Raw genomic sequence first — 14928 nt, forward strand, 5'->3', positions numbered from 1 at the left:
TTGATTATCTGATACATTCAATCACTTGGAAACTAATGATAACACTGTAAAATAAATCTGATTGGGCATATAGAAAAATAATGAAGGGCCAAGCACGGTGGCTCACACCTACAATCCCAGCACTTTGGGAGGCCAAGGTGGGCAGATCACTTGAGGTCAGGAGTTCGAAACCAGCCTAGCCAACATAGTGAAACCATGTCTCTACTAAAAATAACAAAAAACATTAGCTGGGCAAGGTGGCAGGTGCCTATAATCCCAGCTACTCAGGAGGCTGAGATATGAGAATCGCTTGAACCCAGGGTGTGGAGGTTGCAGTGAGCCGAGATCGCGCCACTACACTCCAGCCTGGGCAACATCAAAACAACAACCACAACAACAAAACAAAACAACAACAACAACAATAAAAAACAAAAGAAAAAGAATGAGGAACATATACAGAAAACTAAAGGAAATGAAAAAATCTGGTAATTAACTCCAGAAGAAACAAAAAATTGAATTGATAAGATCATTAGGCCAGGTGTAGTGGCTCATTCCTGTAATCCCAGTATTTTGGGAGGCTGAGGCAGGTGGACTGCCTGAGCTCAGGAGTTTGGGACCAGCCTGGGCAACATGGCGAAACCCCATCTCTACCAAAAATACAAAAAATTAGCCAGACGTGGTGAAGCATGCCTGTGGTCCCAGCTACTCTGGAGGCTGAGGTGAGAGAATTGCTTGAGTTTGGGAAGCAGAGGTTGCAGTGAGCTGAGATAGAGCCACTGTACTCCAACCTGGGTGAGAGAGTGAGAGCCTGTCTCAAAAAAAAAAAAAAAGGCTGGACGTAGTGGTTCACACCTGTAATCCCAGCACTTTGGGAGGCCGAGGCAGGTGAATCACTTGAGGCCAGGATTTTGAGACCAGCCTGGCCAACATGGTGAAATCCCATCTGTTCTAAAAATTAAAAAAAAAAAAAAAATTGTTAATATATTTGATCATTTCATAGTAGCCCATGTAGCTCTCCAGTAAAAATAATTTACATAGTCATAATAATGTACAATGACGATTCAATTTAAGAATGTTACATATAATTATTGGAAGAGTAGTCAAAATGAAAGTGGAGACATAGTATAAGAGCTAAATGAGCACCTACAATAAAAGTCACTAAAAGTATTATTAACTTTTTTTTTTTTTTTTGAGACAGGGTCTCGCTCTGTATTCCAAGCTGGAGTCCAGTGGCACAATTTTGGCTCACTGCAGCCTCAACGTCCCAGGCTCAAGTGAGCTTCCCACCTCAGCCTCCCAAGTAGCTGGGATTACAAACACACGCCACCACACCAAGCTAATTTTTGTAATTTTTGTAGAGACAGGGTTTCCACCTGTCTCTACATGTTGCTCAGGCTGGTCTTGAAATCCTAGGCTCAAACGATCTACCCACCTCAGCCTCCCAAAGTGCTGGGATTACAGGCATGAGCCACTGTGCCTGGCATATTATAAGCATTTTAATTTAGAATTAGGGATGAAATACCAGGGGAAACAGCTACAAGAGTTGAATACATGATTATAGGTAATGGAACTGAGGGTAAAATAGGAATTTGCTATTTATTTTGTCATTGCTTGTCTTCTTTAGAACTGTTTGGTTTTGAAAAAAATTATTTGCATATATTAACTGAAAGCAAAGAAATTACAAAGGTCACACATATAAAATAATACTCTATATTGTTCATGAGTGCTTATGCATATATAACAGTATAAACAAAATCAACTAGAAAGAAATATCATATTCATACTAGTAGCTGCTTATGATGAGTGGGGAGAACTAAGGATGCGGATTAGAAGGAATTTCAACTTTATAATAAATTCTTTCTCTCATATAATAATTAAAAAGACAGCTGGGCACAGTGGCTCATGCCTAAAATCCTAGTGCTTTGGGAGGCTGAGGTGGGAGAATCACTTGAGCCCAGGAGTTTGAGACCAGCCTGGGCAACAGAGCAAGACTCCATCTCTACAAAAACTTCAAAAAAATTAGCAAGGTGTGGCACCCCATACTTCTTGTCCCAGCTACTAGGAAGGCTAAGGCAAGAAAATCACTTGAGCCCAGGAGGTTAAGGCTGCCATAAGCTATGACAGTGCCACTGCACCTGCACTCCAACCTATGCGACAGAGCAAGAACACATGTCTCTCTTAAAAAGAAAGAAAAAGGCCAGGTGTGGGGGCTCATGCCTGTAATTCCAGCACTTTAGGAGGCCAAGGTGGGTGGATCACCTGACGTGAGGAGCTCGAGACCACTCTGACCAACATGGCGAAACCCCGTCTCTATGAAAAATACAAAAAATTAGCTGGGCTTGGTAGCGGGCACCTGTAATCCCAGCTACTTGGGAGGCTAAGGCAGGAGAATCGCTTGAACCCAGGAGGCGGAGGTTGCAGTGAGCTGAAGTCACACCATTGCACTCCAGCCTGGGCAACAAGAGCAAAACTCTGTCTCAAAAAAAAAAAAAAAAAGATGAAGCAAATATAACAAAATATTAACAAGAGTCAGTGTTGATTCTGTGGTAGGAACATAGTTGTCTGTAAAATCTTAAAAAATTTCAGCCCAGCGCAGTGGCTCATGCCTGTAATCCCAGCACTTTGGGAGGCTGAGGCTGGCGGATCACCTGAGGTCAGGAGTTGGAGACCAGCCTAGTCAATATGGTGAAACCCCATCTTTACTAAAAATACAAAAAAAAAAATTAGCTGGGCGTGGTAGCAGGCACCTGTAATCCCAGCTACTTGGGAGACTGAGGCGGGAGATCACTTGAACCCATGAGGCGGAGGTTGCAGCGAGCTGAGATCACGCCACTGAACTCCAGCCTGGGCGACAGAGCGAGACCACATCTCAGAGAAATATATATATATATTTCTCCCTTCCTATACGAATATGCCTAGTGAATAAAACCAATCCTAAAAGATTACATACAGTATGTATGTAATTTTTTTACATTTTATGTAATGTTACTTGATATAACAACAATTTGGAAAGGACAAAATTAGAGAAATGGAGAATAGATTAGTGGTTGCAGGGGTTAGGAATGGGGAGGTGGTGGGAAGGAGGTATATGTTTACTATAGGGCAATGAGGCTGGGCACGGTGGCTCACACCTGTAATCCCAGCACTTTGGGAGGCCGAGGTGAGTGGATCACCTGAGGTCAGGAGTTTGAGATCAGCCTGGCCAACATGGTGAAACCCTGACTGTAGTAAAAATACAAAAATTCGTCAGGCATGGTGGTGCACGCCTGTAATCCCAGCTACTTGGGAGGCTGAGGCAGGAGAATCGCTTGAACCTGGGAGGCAGAGGTTACAGGGAGCTGAGATTGCACCACAGCACTCCAGCTTGGGTGACAGAGCAAGACTCTGTCTTAAAAAAATAAGTAAATAAAAATAAAAATATTGATCGCTTCTCAGTCTTTTGGCTAAGATCAAGTGTAAAATAAAAATAATGAAGGGCAACGAGGGGAGCCTTGTGGTGACAGAACTCTGTATCTTGATTATGGTGACAGATACACAAACCTACATGTGTGACAAAACTGCACAGAACTAAATACACAAAAATGAAGTAAAACTGGGGAAGTCTAAATCAGATTGGTGGATTGTATCTATATTAACATTCTGGCTGTGATATTACACTATAGTTTTGGAAGATGTTATCATGGGATAACTGTAGAAAGGGTACATGTAATCTGTCTCCATTATTTCTTACAACTGCAGGTGAATCTACAATTATAAGAAAAAGTAAAAAGAGAAAAGGGAAAGAAAGTCTCTTGGTCCAGGGGAATCCTGGGCAAGAGTGAATATACACTGATAGCCACTTCATAATCCAGAATTCCAAGGGAGACACAGTTTGTTCTTTGTAAGTAGCTCTACTGGGAGTTGGTGTAAGTCAGAGGCTTGGAGCTGATGAGGATTCTAGGTTCTAAATCATAAAGTGGGGAATCAGTCATTCAATAGGCAAGACTAGGAAGTCCTCTCATTAGATGAGAGATCTGTTCTCTGATTGTCAAATGGTAGCTGGTTTGGATGATGGCAACAAGACGATCTAAACCCACTTTTTTTTTTTTTTTTTTTTTTTTGAGACAGAGTCTTGCTCTATCGCCCAGGCTGGAGTGCGGTGGCATGATCTTGGCTCACAGCAACCTCCGCCTCCTGGGCTCAAGTGATTCTCCTGCCTCAGCCTCCCAAGTAGCTGGGACTACAGGTGCGTGCCACCACACCCAGCTAATTTTTGTATTATTAGAAGAGACGGGGTTTCACCATGTTGGCCAGGATGTTCTCAATCTCTTGACCTCGTGATCTGCCAGCCTCAACCTCCCAAAGTGCTGCGATTACAGGCGTGAGCCACCGCGCCCAGCCAAACCCACTTTTTTAATGGAGGAGGGGAGACTCCATAGTAGAAATGACATCTCAAGGGCCTCACAGCAGCTGGTAGTTGCAAAAGCACCGAGAGCAAGGTGAAGAATCCCCAGGATAAGTGTGCATCCTCTTAGATCAGCCTAGCATGCCTCCCTGCTCCAACATATTTCCTTGATTCAAGACTGCAAGGGAGGCTGGGCATAGTGGCTCATGCCTGTAATCCCAGCACTTTGCAGGGCTGAGGTGGGCAGATCACTTGAGGTCAGGAGTTCGAGATCAGCCTGGCCAACATGGCAAAACCCCATCTCTACTAAAAATACACAAATTAGGCCAGGCATGGTGGCTCACGCCTGTAATCCTAGCACTTTGGGAAGCCAAGGAGGACGAATCACCCGAGGTCAGGAGTTTGAGACCAGCCTGGCCAACACAGTGAAACCCCATCTCTACTAAAAATACAAAATTAACCGGGTGTGGTGGCACACGCCTGTAATCCCAGCTACTCAGGAGGCTGAGGCAGGAGAATTGCTTGAGCCGGGAGATGGAGGTTGCAGTGGGCTGAGATCGTGGCACTGCACTCTAGCCTGGCCGAGAGTGAGACTCTGTCTCAAAATAAATAAATAAATAAATAAACAAACATACATACACACACACACACACACACACACACATATATATACACACACAAATTAGTTGGGTGTGGTGGCACACACCTGTAATTCCATCTACTTGGGAGACTAAGGCACAGAATGGCTTGAACCCACAAGGCGGAGGTTGCAGTGGGCCGAAATCATACCATTGCACTCCAGCCTGGGTGATGGAGTGAGACTGTCTCAACAACAACAAAAAAGACTTTAAGGGAATAACTGTTCTGTTTGCAAAAGAGATTGGATATAAACAGGGAGTCTGGTAGTTGGGTATAGGTAGCACCCATAATTCCAGCACTTTGGAAGGCTGAGGCAGGAGGATCACTTGAGCCCAGGGGTTCAAGACCAGCCTGGGCAACATAGGGAGACTCTACAAAAAATTTAAAAAATTAGCCAGGCATGGTGGTGCATGTCTGTGGTCTCAGCTACTCAAGAGGCTGAGGCAGGAGGATCAATTGAGCATCAAGAGATGGAGGCTGCAGTGAGCCATGATCATGCCACTATGCGCCAGTCTGGGGGACAGAGCAAGACCCTGTCTCTAAAAAAAATAATAATAATAAAATAATAAATACAATAAGTAAAATGAAATAAAAATTAAATAAAAATAGGGGTCTGGAGCTGGTAGGGAAGAAACAGAGCTGTATGAGAGAAAAGAATAATTTCCCTTGTTGATATATGGTCTGTGTCCCCTTTTTCTCCTCTTATTTTCCTTTGCATTCTTGATCTGATTGACTTCTTTCTCAAGTGCCTCTTATCTCTTACTTTCCCTATCTCATTATTTTCCCCAACTCATTATTTTCCCTCTTTGCTTTGCTAAAAGACTCTATCCCTGCATCTTATTCAGAACACACTGACTACACTGGACAGGAGTTACAAGAGAGAAGAGGTACTCACAGAATCCTAGATTTCTAAAACATTTAAGCTACAAAGGTAGGTGAATATCAGAGTCCAGTAGTCACATATTATACAGAGGAAAACCAAAGTGCTGAGAAGGGAAATAACTTGTGTCACTCACAGAGGGAATTTTTGGTTAAGTTGGAATATGAGGCTGGGACCCACTAGGATGGCTTCCCTCATTTTCTTTCTTTTTTTTTTTTCCTCTTCTTTTCTTTCTTTCTTTTTTTTTTTTTTTCCTTAGACAAAGTCTTACTCTGTCACTTAGGCTGGAGCTCAGTGGCGTGATCATAACTCACTGTGGTCTTGACCTCCCGGGCTCAAGTGATCCTCCTGCATAGCTGGGACAACAGGAGTGTGCCACCATGCCTGGCTAATTTTTTCGTTTTTTATTTTTGTAGAGGTAGGGTCTTGCTATGCTGCTCAGGTTAGTCTCAAACTCCTGGGCACAAATGATCCTCCTATACCTTTACTCCCAAAGTGCTGGGATTATAGGCATGAGCCACTGCCCCCAGCCCTAGTTTCTGTAGTTTTCAACAGTCACAGCTCACTAGCTGGAGAGAAAGAGATTTCTGGGGCAGCCAATTAAAACATGGTAAGAGAAATGACAGCAACATGGTAAGAGAAATAATCTGACCAGGTGCGGTGGCTCACACCTGTAATCCCAACACTTTGGGAGGTTGAGGCAGGAGGATCACTTGAGCCTCGGAGTTTGAGACCAGCCTGGGCAACATGCCAAAACCCCATCTCTTCAAAAAATAAAAAATGAGCTGGACATAGTGGCACATACCTGTAGTCCCAGCTACTCAGGAGGCTGAAGTAGGAGGATCGCTTTAACCTAGGAATTTGAGGAAAAGAAAAGGATAAAAGAAAAGAAAAGGAGAAGAGAAGAAGAAAAGAAGAGAAGAGAAAAAAGAAAAAGAGGCCAGGTGCGGTAGATCATACCTGTAATCCCAGCACTTCGGGAGGCTGAGGCAGGCAGATCACCTGAGGTCAGGAGTTCAAGATCAACCTGGACAACATCGTGAAACCCTGTCTCTACTAAAAATACAAAAATTAGCCAGGCATGGTGGTGCGCGCCTATAATTCCAGCTACTTGGGAGGGTGAGGCAGGAAGAATCGCTTGAACCTGGGAGGCGGAGGTTGCAGTGAGCCGAGATCGTGCCATTGCACTCCAGCCTGGGTGACAGAACGAGACTCCATCTCAGAAAGAAAAAAAAAAGAGAGGGAGGGAGGAAGGAAGGAATTACAGGTGTGCGCCACCACACCCAGCTAATTTGTGTGTGGGTGTGTATATATATATGTATGTATGTATATATAGTTATCAACTAGTTACGAGCCAGAGTTATAAACTAGCGAGATGGTTTTGTGATAGGATTTGAGTAGAATGAAAATCTCAAGGGGTTAAAGTCCTATGAGGCAACTGTACTCTCTGACTGTGGATTATTTTAAGTGTACCACATACCCCTCCTCAAGAAGTAATGTTATACCATAAATGTTATGGGGAGAAACTGCCCAAATGAACAGACCAGCACTCACACTGAGTACTGGAATAGAGAGTAGCCTATTTTGAACCTACTTTTTTTAAAAAAAACTTGCATTTCAGAAAAATATCCAAAAATATGTCCAACAGGGTTATCCTGTTGGTACCAAAGACCTTCAGAAATTTCAGAGCATAGGATGTTAGCAAGAAGCACCCAATGGTGCCCAGGCTGGAGTGCAGTGGCGTGATCTCAGCTCACTACAACCTCCATCTCCCAGCCGCCTGCCTTGGCCTCCCAAAGTGCCGAGATTGCAGCCTCTGCCCGGCCACCACCCCGTCTGGGAAGTGAGGAGCGTCTCTGCCTGGCCGCCCATCGTCTGGGACGTGAGGAGCCCCTCTGCCTGGCTGCCCAGTCTGGAAAGTGAGGAGCGTCTCTGCCCGGCCGCCATCCCATCTAGGAAGTGAGGAGCGCCTCTTCCCGGCAGCCATCCCATCTGGGAAGTGAGGAGCATCTCTGCCCGGCCGCCCATCGTCTGAGATGTGGGGAGCGCCTCTGCCCCGCTGCCCCGTCTGGGATGTGAGGAGCTCCTCTGCCCGGTCGCGACCCCGTCTGGGAGGTGAGGAGCGTCTCTGCCCAGCCGCCCCGTCTGAGAAGTGAGGAGACCCTCCGCCCAGCATCCGCCCCATCTGAGAAGTGAGGAGCCCCTCCGCCCGGCAGCCGCCCCGTCTGAGAAGTGAGGAGTCCCTCTGCCCGGCAGCCACCCCGTCTGGGAAGTGAGGAGCGTCTCCGCCCGGCAGCCGCCCCGTCCGGGAGGGAGGTGGGGGGGTCAGCCCCCCGCCCGGCCAGCCGCTCCGTCCGGGAGGGAGGTGGGGGGGTCAGCCCCCCGCCCGGCCAGCCGCCCCGTCCGGGAGGTGAGGGGCGCCTCTGCCCAGCCGCCCCTACTGGGAAGTGAGGAGCCCCTCTGCCTGGCCAGCCACCCCGTCCGGGAGGGAGGTGGGGGAGTCAGCCCCCAACCCGGCCAGCCGCCCCATCCGGGAGGGAGGTGGGGGGGGGGTCAGCCCCCCGTCCGGGAGGGAGGTGGGGGGGTCAGCCCCCCGCCCGGCCAGCCGCCCCGTCCGGGAGGGAGGTGAGGGGGGGTCAGCCCTCCGCCCGGCCAGCCGCCCCGTCCGGGAGGGAGGTGGGGTCAGCCCCCCGCCCGGCCAGCCGCCCCGTCCGGGAGGTGAGGGGCGCCTCTGCCCAGCCGCCCCTACTGGGAAGTGAGGAGCCCCTCTGCCGGGCCAGCCGCCCCGTCCGGGAGGGAGGTGGGGGGCTCAGCCCCCCGCCCGGCCAGCCGACCCGTCCGGGAGGGAGGTGGGGGGATCAGCACCCCGCCCGGACAGCCGCCCCGTCCGGGAGGGAGGTGGGGAGGTCAGCCCCCCGCCCGGACAGCCGCCCCGTCCGGGAGGGAGGTGGGGGGGTCAGCCCCATGTCCGGGAGGGAGGTCGGGGGGGTCAGCCCCCCGCCCGGCCAGCCGCCCCGTCCGGGAGGGAGGTGAGGTCAGCCCCCTGCCCGGCCAGCCGCCCCGTCCGGGAGGTGAGGGGCGCCTCTGCCCAGCCGCCCCTACTGGGAAGTGAGGAGCCCCTCTGCCGGGCCAGCCACCCCGTCCGGGAGGGAGGTGGGGGGCTCAGCCCCCCGCCCGGCCAGCCGACCCGTCCGGGAGGGAGGTGGGGGGATCAGCCCCCCGCCCGGCCAGCCGCCCGGTCCGGGAGGGAGGTGGAGGGGTCAGCCCCACGTCCGGGAGGGAGGTGGGGGGGGTCAGCCCCCCGCCCAGCCAGCCGCCCCGTCCAGGAGGTGAGGGGCGCCTCTGCCCTGCCGCCCCTACTGGGAAGTGAGGAGCCCCTCTGCCCGGCCAGCCGCCCCGTCTGGGAGGGAGGTGGGGGGGTCAGCCCCCCGCCCGGCCAGCCGCCCTGTCCGGGAGGGAGGTGGGGGGGTCAGCCCCCCGCCCGGGAGGTGAGGGGCGCCTCTGCCCGGCCGCCCCTACTGGGAAGTGAGGAGCCCCTCTGCCCGGCCAGCCGCCCCGTCCGGGAGGGAGGTGGGGGGGTCAGCCCCCCGCCTGGCCAGCCGCCCCGTCCGGGAGGGAGGTGGGGGGGTCTGGCCAGCCACCCCGTCCGGGAGGTGAGGGGCACCTCTGCCCAGCCACCCCTACTAGGAAGTGAGGAGCCCCTCTGCCCAGCCACCACCTCGTCTGGGAGGTGTACCCAACAGCTCATTGAGAACGGGCCAGGATGACAATGGCGGTTTTGTGGAATAGAAAGGGGGGAAAGGTGGGGAAAAGATTGAGAAATCGGATGGTTGCCGTGTCTGTGTAGAAAGTAGACATGGGAGACTTTTCATTTTGTTCTGTACTAAGATAAATTCTTCTGCCTTGGGATCCTGTTGATCGGTGACCTTACCCCCAACCCTGTGCTCTCTGAAACATGTGCTGTGTCCACTCAGGGTTAAATGGATTAAGGGCGGTGCAAGATGTGCTTTGTTAAACAGATGCTTGAAGGCAGCATGCTCGTTAAGAATCATCACCACTCCCTAATCTCAAGTACCCAGGGACACAAACACTGCGGAAGGCCGCAGGGTCCTCTGCCTAGGAAAACCAGAGACCTTTGTTCACTTGTTTATCTGCCAACCTTCCCTCCACTATTGTCCTATGACCCTGCCAAATCCCCCTCTGCGAGAAACACCCAAGAATGATCAATAAAAAAAATAAAAATTTAAAAAAAAAAGAAAAAAAAAAAGAAGCACCAAAGCAGAAAGTACCTCTTTCTGCATGCGAGAAACCATCATTTATGTGAGAGTGATGTTCCCTAACATAAGGAAGGGTCTCTGCTAAGCAAGTGAGGGGTGGAAGGAGCTGTTGCCAGAGCCTACCAGAAGCATCCTGGTAACCAGCTGCTGGCCCAAACTTTTTCTACTTACATGGAACAGTGGAAAGTGCCAACAGGGTTCTCACGACGAATGTCTTCATATTCCTCATAGATTCCTTGCTTTTGCCTGGCATTAACATAGTCCACCAACTCTTGGATGGTCATAGCATGGGGACCTGGAACATGTACTGAGTCCCAGTCTAAGGCAGGAGGGAGGGAGAACAGGATGATCTCATCGAAGGGATCTGGGTGGCCGTTCACCTGGGGTAGGAACTGGAAATTCCAAGTGGCGAGATCAATTTTGACGTACCCACCCAGGTTTTCTGGAAGACACTCCCTGGGCAGATGCTGCGTGACCTCAGATGTCTTTAATATTTGAATCTGGAAGGTTAGAAAGAACCATGTGAGTATGTGGGAGGAGGGAAAGGCATATAGAGTGACAAAGAATAAATGTATTTATATCAGGTTTGGAGGATGGGATAAGATTTTCTTGAAATACAAGGTATACTTGTAAAAGTAGTAGACTACATTTCATCTGCCTGAGATTTAAGTCCTATGAATTTGCCAGATAAAAGTGTGAACTCCCAGAATGTATATAAAATTCACTCCTGGAATTAGGGACACTGTTATACATCTTCTGAAAGGACGATGTAGTGAACAAAAGCTTTATATTATTAACAAGGCTTCCCAGCATCGCTGCATGCTGGTACTCTTTTTTTGGCCACTAAGAATGCATAGGTAGTAGTTATTTTTGTCAACCCCATACTCAGACAACCAATTCTAAGGCCTGTTAGCTTGTATTTTACTCAGCTTGGTATAACTGTTCACAAAGATAGGATTCTATGAAAGCAAGACACCCAGAGGCAGGGTAGCCCAGGAAAAATGTGAGATAACACTTTTTTTTTGAGACAGGGTCTCACTTTTTCACCCAGCCTGGAGTGTAGTGGCGTGATGAAGGCTCACTGCAGCCTCAACCTCCTGGGCTCAAGTGATCCTTCCACCTCAGCCCCTCAAGTAGCTGGGAATACAGATGCACACAACCACGCCCAGCTAATTTTTTGTAGTAACCATAAAACTTAATTCTGCTCTCTGCTTGGACATAGCCATGCTGGAACTAATTAGCTTAACTGGTTCTCCTTAGGATCTCTGTGGAATGGGGATTCTCTTCCTCCTAAAAGCTCATCTCTTTTGCTGTCGCCTCTTCTTGGAATGCCTTCCTTTCCTCCTCTGCCTCTTCATGGACCAGCACAGCTCACCTCTTCTGTGAAGTCTTTCCTGACTGCCTGAGGCCATATGCTCCTCTGCGTTCCTGCAGAGCCAAAGTCCTCCTATGTGTATCTCTGTGTTCCCTATCAAGACCATGAGCTCCTTGAGGGTAGACTGTCTCACTTAATTTTTAATTATCAGGAACCAGTGCTTCGACTACAAAAAGTGCTTAATATATTTTGAGTTTATACATGCATGTATAATTCCTATAATTCAAGTGCAAGAACTTGCCTATGGATTCCTCTCAAAGAGTTACCTTAGAAAAGATCTCTCCAGCTGGCACGGTGGCTCATGCCTATAATCCCAGCACTTTGGGAGGCTGAGGCAGGTGGATCACCTGAGGTCAGGAGTTTGAGACCAGCCTGTCCAACATGGTGAAACCCCATCTCTACTAAAAAAATACAAGAATTAGCTGGGCATGTTGGCAGGAGCCTGTAATCCCAGCTACTTGGGAGGCTGAGGCAGGAGAATCACTTGAACCCGGGGGACGGAGGTTGCAGTGAGCCAAGATCATGCCATTGCACTCTAGCCTCAGCGACAACAGCAAAACTCTGTCGCAAAAAAAAAAAAAAAAAAAGAAAGAAAAGATCTCTCCTGGCTGGGCACGGTGGCTTATGCCTGTAATCCCAGCACTTTTGGGAGGCTGAGGTGGGTGGATCACGAGGTCAGAAGATCAAGACCATCCTGGCTAACACAGTGAAACTCCGTCTCTACTAAAAACACAAAAAATTAGCCGGGCGTGACAGCACACGCCTGTAGTCCCAGCTACTAGGGAGGCTGAGGCAGGAGAATGGTTTGAACCTGGGAGGCGGAGCTTGCAGTGAGCCGAGATCGCTTCACTGCACTCCAGCCTGGGAGACAGAGCGAGACTCCGTCTCAAAAAAGGTGGCTCACGCTTGTAATCCCAGCACTTTGGGAGGCTGAGGTGGGCGGATCATGAGGTCAGGAGTTCGAGACCAGCCTGGCCAATATGGTGAAACACCGTCTCTACTAAAAATACAAAAATTAGCTGGGTGTGGTAGCGTGCGCCTGTACTCCCAGCTACTCAGGAGGCTGAGGCAGAAGAATCGCTTGAACTCAGGAGGCGGGGCTGCAGTGAGCCAAGATCGTGCCACTGCACTCCAGCCTAGGCAACAGAGTGAGACACTCTCAAAAAAAAAAAAAAAAAAAAAAAAAGAAAAGCTCTCTCCTACTCTGCGTCATTAGGTCTCTAAGCAGCTTCCACAGAACCAAATGTTTTCACTTTCATGTCCTGTCTTTTAATTGCTGCAATCAGTAACTGAGACCATAAATCTTTTAATCATGGAACACGCAGGAGATTATAACAGAATTAAAGTTTCTGGTTTTATTGTGGCGGCGGGGTCTCACTGTGTTGCCTAGGCTGGTCTCAAACTCCTGGCCTCAAGCGATCTTCCCGCCTTGGCCTCGGACTCCCAAAGTGTTAGTATTATAAGCATGAGCCATTACACTTGGCCCAGAATTAAAGTAATTTTGAACGCTTTTGAAATTGGGAAGCAACAAGGTATTCTGAGAAAAAAAAATGCCAGGAATAAATGTAGAAAGAGACATAACGAAAAACTTTCCTCCACAACCCTGGTGGTCAAGGGATTGAATGATGTTTCCAGTTGAACAAATTCTAATGCCAGTTCAACTAATGCAGTTATATTACAAGCTGTTAAATATTAAAGGCCTATGCAGCACTAGGATAAATTTTGGAAGTAGCAGCTATCCCTAAGTTACCTCCAGGACACGTTCCTTCAGTACTATCTTATGCAAGGTGCTATAGAAAGTGAGAACCAGATAAACTGTGTTTAGTTTTGAACTTCAAGAAGCTCGTAGGACAGTAAGAGAGGCAGTCTGTATTGAACTGACTAATGCATCAGGTAGAGAATATAAGTGAATGCACTAACAGAAGCAGAACAGGCTCTAGAAGACACGCCAGGAGGATTTTTTGAAGGTAGAAAATTAATTGGCAGGAATTCACTGTATCTATTCACCTCCAGATAAAAAAGGGCAAGCTTGCCTTACCCTCTCCCGGACTTTGTCCTTCAGGAGGAGACTGATGATGGAATAGGGCACTCGGAACCATATGGGTGCCCCCACAATCAGCACCTTCTTCAAACGAGCTGGAAATGCTCCCTGTGGAGAAAACACATGAGGATTTAAGTGTAATGGAACCTGTGACTCTTCAAGCCCAAGTTTAGGTTTTCTGCTCTTCTCCCCATTCTTACCCAGCAGGGGGAGTCTACAGCCTAATTCAGGTTTGATCTCAGCAGCTAGAGGAAAAGTGGTTAAACAAACTGAAGAAATTAGAAGCTGATTTACCTTTAAAAATAACAATGTTAAGTTCTTGTCTACCGTAAGCTTTATGGATCAAAAACTATTCTGACTTCTCATCTCAACAGATATCCTACACATACCACACATCAGCATACATATATGCCTCTTAAAAAAGTTATGTTATTAAAACTTGAAGGAAAAATGAGATCATGAATAAACTGAACATTAAACATTTCTCGACCAGGTGCGGTGGCTCATGCCTATAATCCCAGCATTATGGGAGGCCGAGGTGGGTGGATCACCAGAGGTTGGGAGTTCAAGACCAGCCTGGCCAACATGGTAAAACCCATCACTACTAAAAATACAAAATTAGCCAGGCACGGTGGCAGACACCTGTAATCCCAACTACTCAGAAGGCTGAGGTAGGAGAATCACTTGAACCCAGGAAGCAGAGGCTGCAGTGAGTTGAGATCAAGCCATTGCACTTTACCCTGGGCAACAAGAGTGAAACTCTGTCTCAAAAAAAATAATATGGCTGGGCACAGTGGCTCACGCCTGTAATCCCAGCACTTCTGGAAGCTGAGGCGGGCAGATCACTTGATGTCAGGAGTTTGAGACCAGCCTGGCCAACATGGTGAAACCCCATCTCTACTAAAAATACAAAGATTAGCCGGGCATGGTGGCATGTGCCTGTAATCCCTGCTACTCGGGAGGCTAAGGCAGGAGAATCGCTTGAACCCAGGAAGTGGAGGTTGCAGTAAGCCAAGATCGCACCACTGCACTCCAGCCTGGGCGACAAGAGCGAAACTCCATCTCAAAATTTTAACAATAATAAATAAAAATTTAAAAATTTTAAAAATTTCTCTTTCATAACTTTTCATTCAGTCTGATGTATGCATAATCTTTTTTTAATCTATTCATTCATCTATGTATTTACCAATCAATAATCTAATGTGCACTATGGCAAATGAGATCTAAAAAAAGGAGATATCCTCATCCACACAAGATATAAAGATGAAAAAATCATTCATTCCTAATCCACAGTGCTTAGTTTTTTTGTTTGCTTGGCTGCTCTGTTTTTGTTTTGTATTGTTTTTGAGACAG

General features: G+C 48.2%; 1 protein-coding gene and 1 long non-coding RNA gene across 3 annotated transcripts in view, besides 1 other annotated feature; one reads left to right on the top strand and one right to left on the bottom strand.

Annotated features, from left to right (window-relative positions):
- LOC105370902 (uncharacterized) overlaps window positions 1-7695 on the top strand; it is a 32278-nt gene extending 24583 nt beyond the window's left edge. Inside the window, exons 3-4 of one of the 2 annotated variants that reach the window (XR_932482.2) lie at window positions 3718-3859; window positions 7659-7695. This is a non-coding gene — a long non-coding RNA (uncharacterized LOC105370902). Of the gene's footprint in view, window positions 1-3717; window positions 4046-7658 lie in introns of those variants that run through there. The other variant, XR_001751804.2, reaches the window with a different exon arrangement.
- PTPN9 (protein tyrosine phosphatase non-receptor type 9) overlaps window positions 1-14928 on the bottom strand; it is a 116065-nt gene that overhangs the window by 32094 nt on the left and 69043 nt on the right. The window contains exons 6-7 of the mRNA NM_002833.4: window positions 13573-13683; window positions 10331-10659 (exon numbers count right to left, since the gene is read on the bottom strand). Coding sequence (NP_002824.1) covers window positions 10331-10659; window positions 13573-13683 — 440 coding nt within the window. The remainder of the gene's footprint in view (window positions 1-10330; window positions 10660-13572; window positions 13684-14928) is intronic.
- Window positions 9394-10179: an enhancer, noted in NCBI's record as "NANOG-H3K27ac hESC enhancer chr15:75797079-75797864 (GRCh37/hg19 assembly coordinates)". NCBI's record gives its function as "activates a minimal SCP1, AML or CMV promoter by ChIP-STARR-seq in primed H9 embryonic stem cells {active_cell/tissue: H9 hESC(primed)}" and the evidence as "EXISTENCE:reporter gene assay evidence [ECO:0000049][PMID:30033119]".

Source organism: Homo sapiens, chromosome 15, assembly GCF_000001405.40.
Source record: "Homo sapiens chromosome 15, GRCh38.p14 Primary Assembly".
NCBI classification, from domain to species: domain Eukaryota; kingdom Metazoa; phylum Chordata; class Mammalia; order Primates; family Hominidae; genus Homo; species Homo sapiens.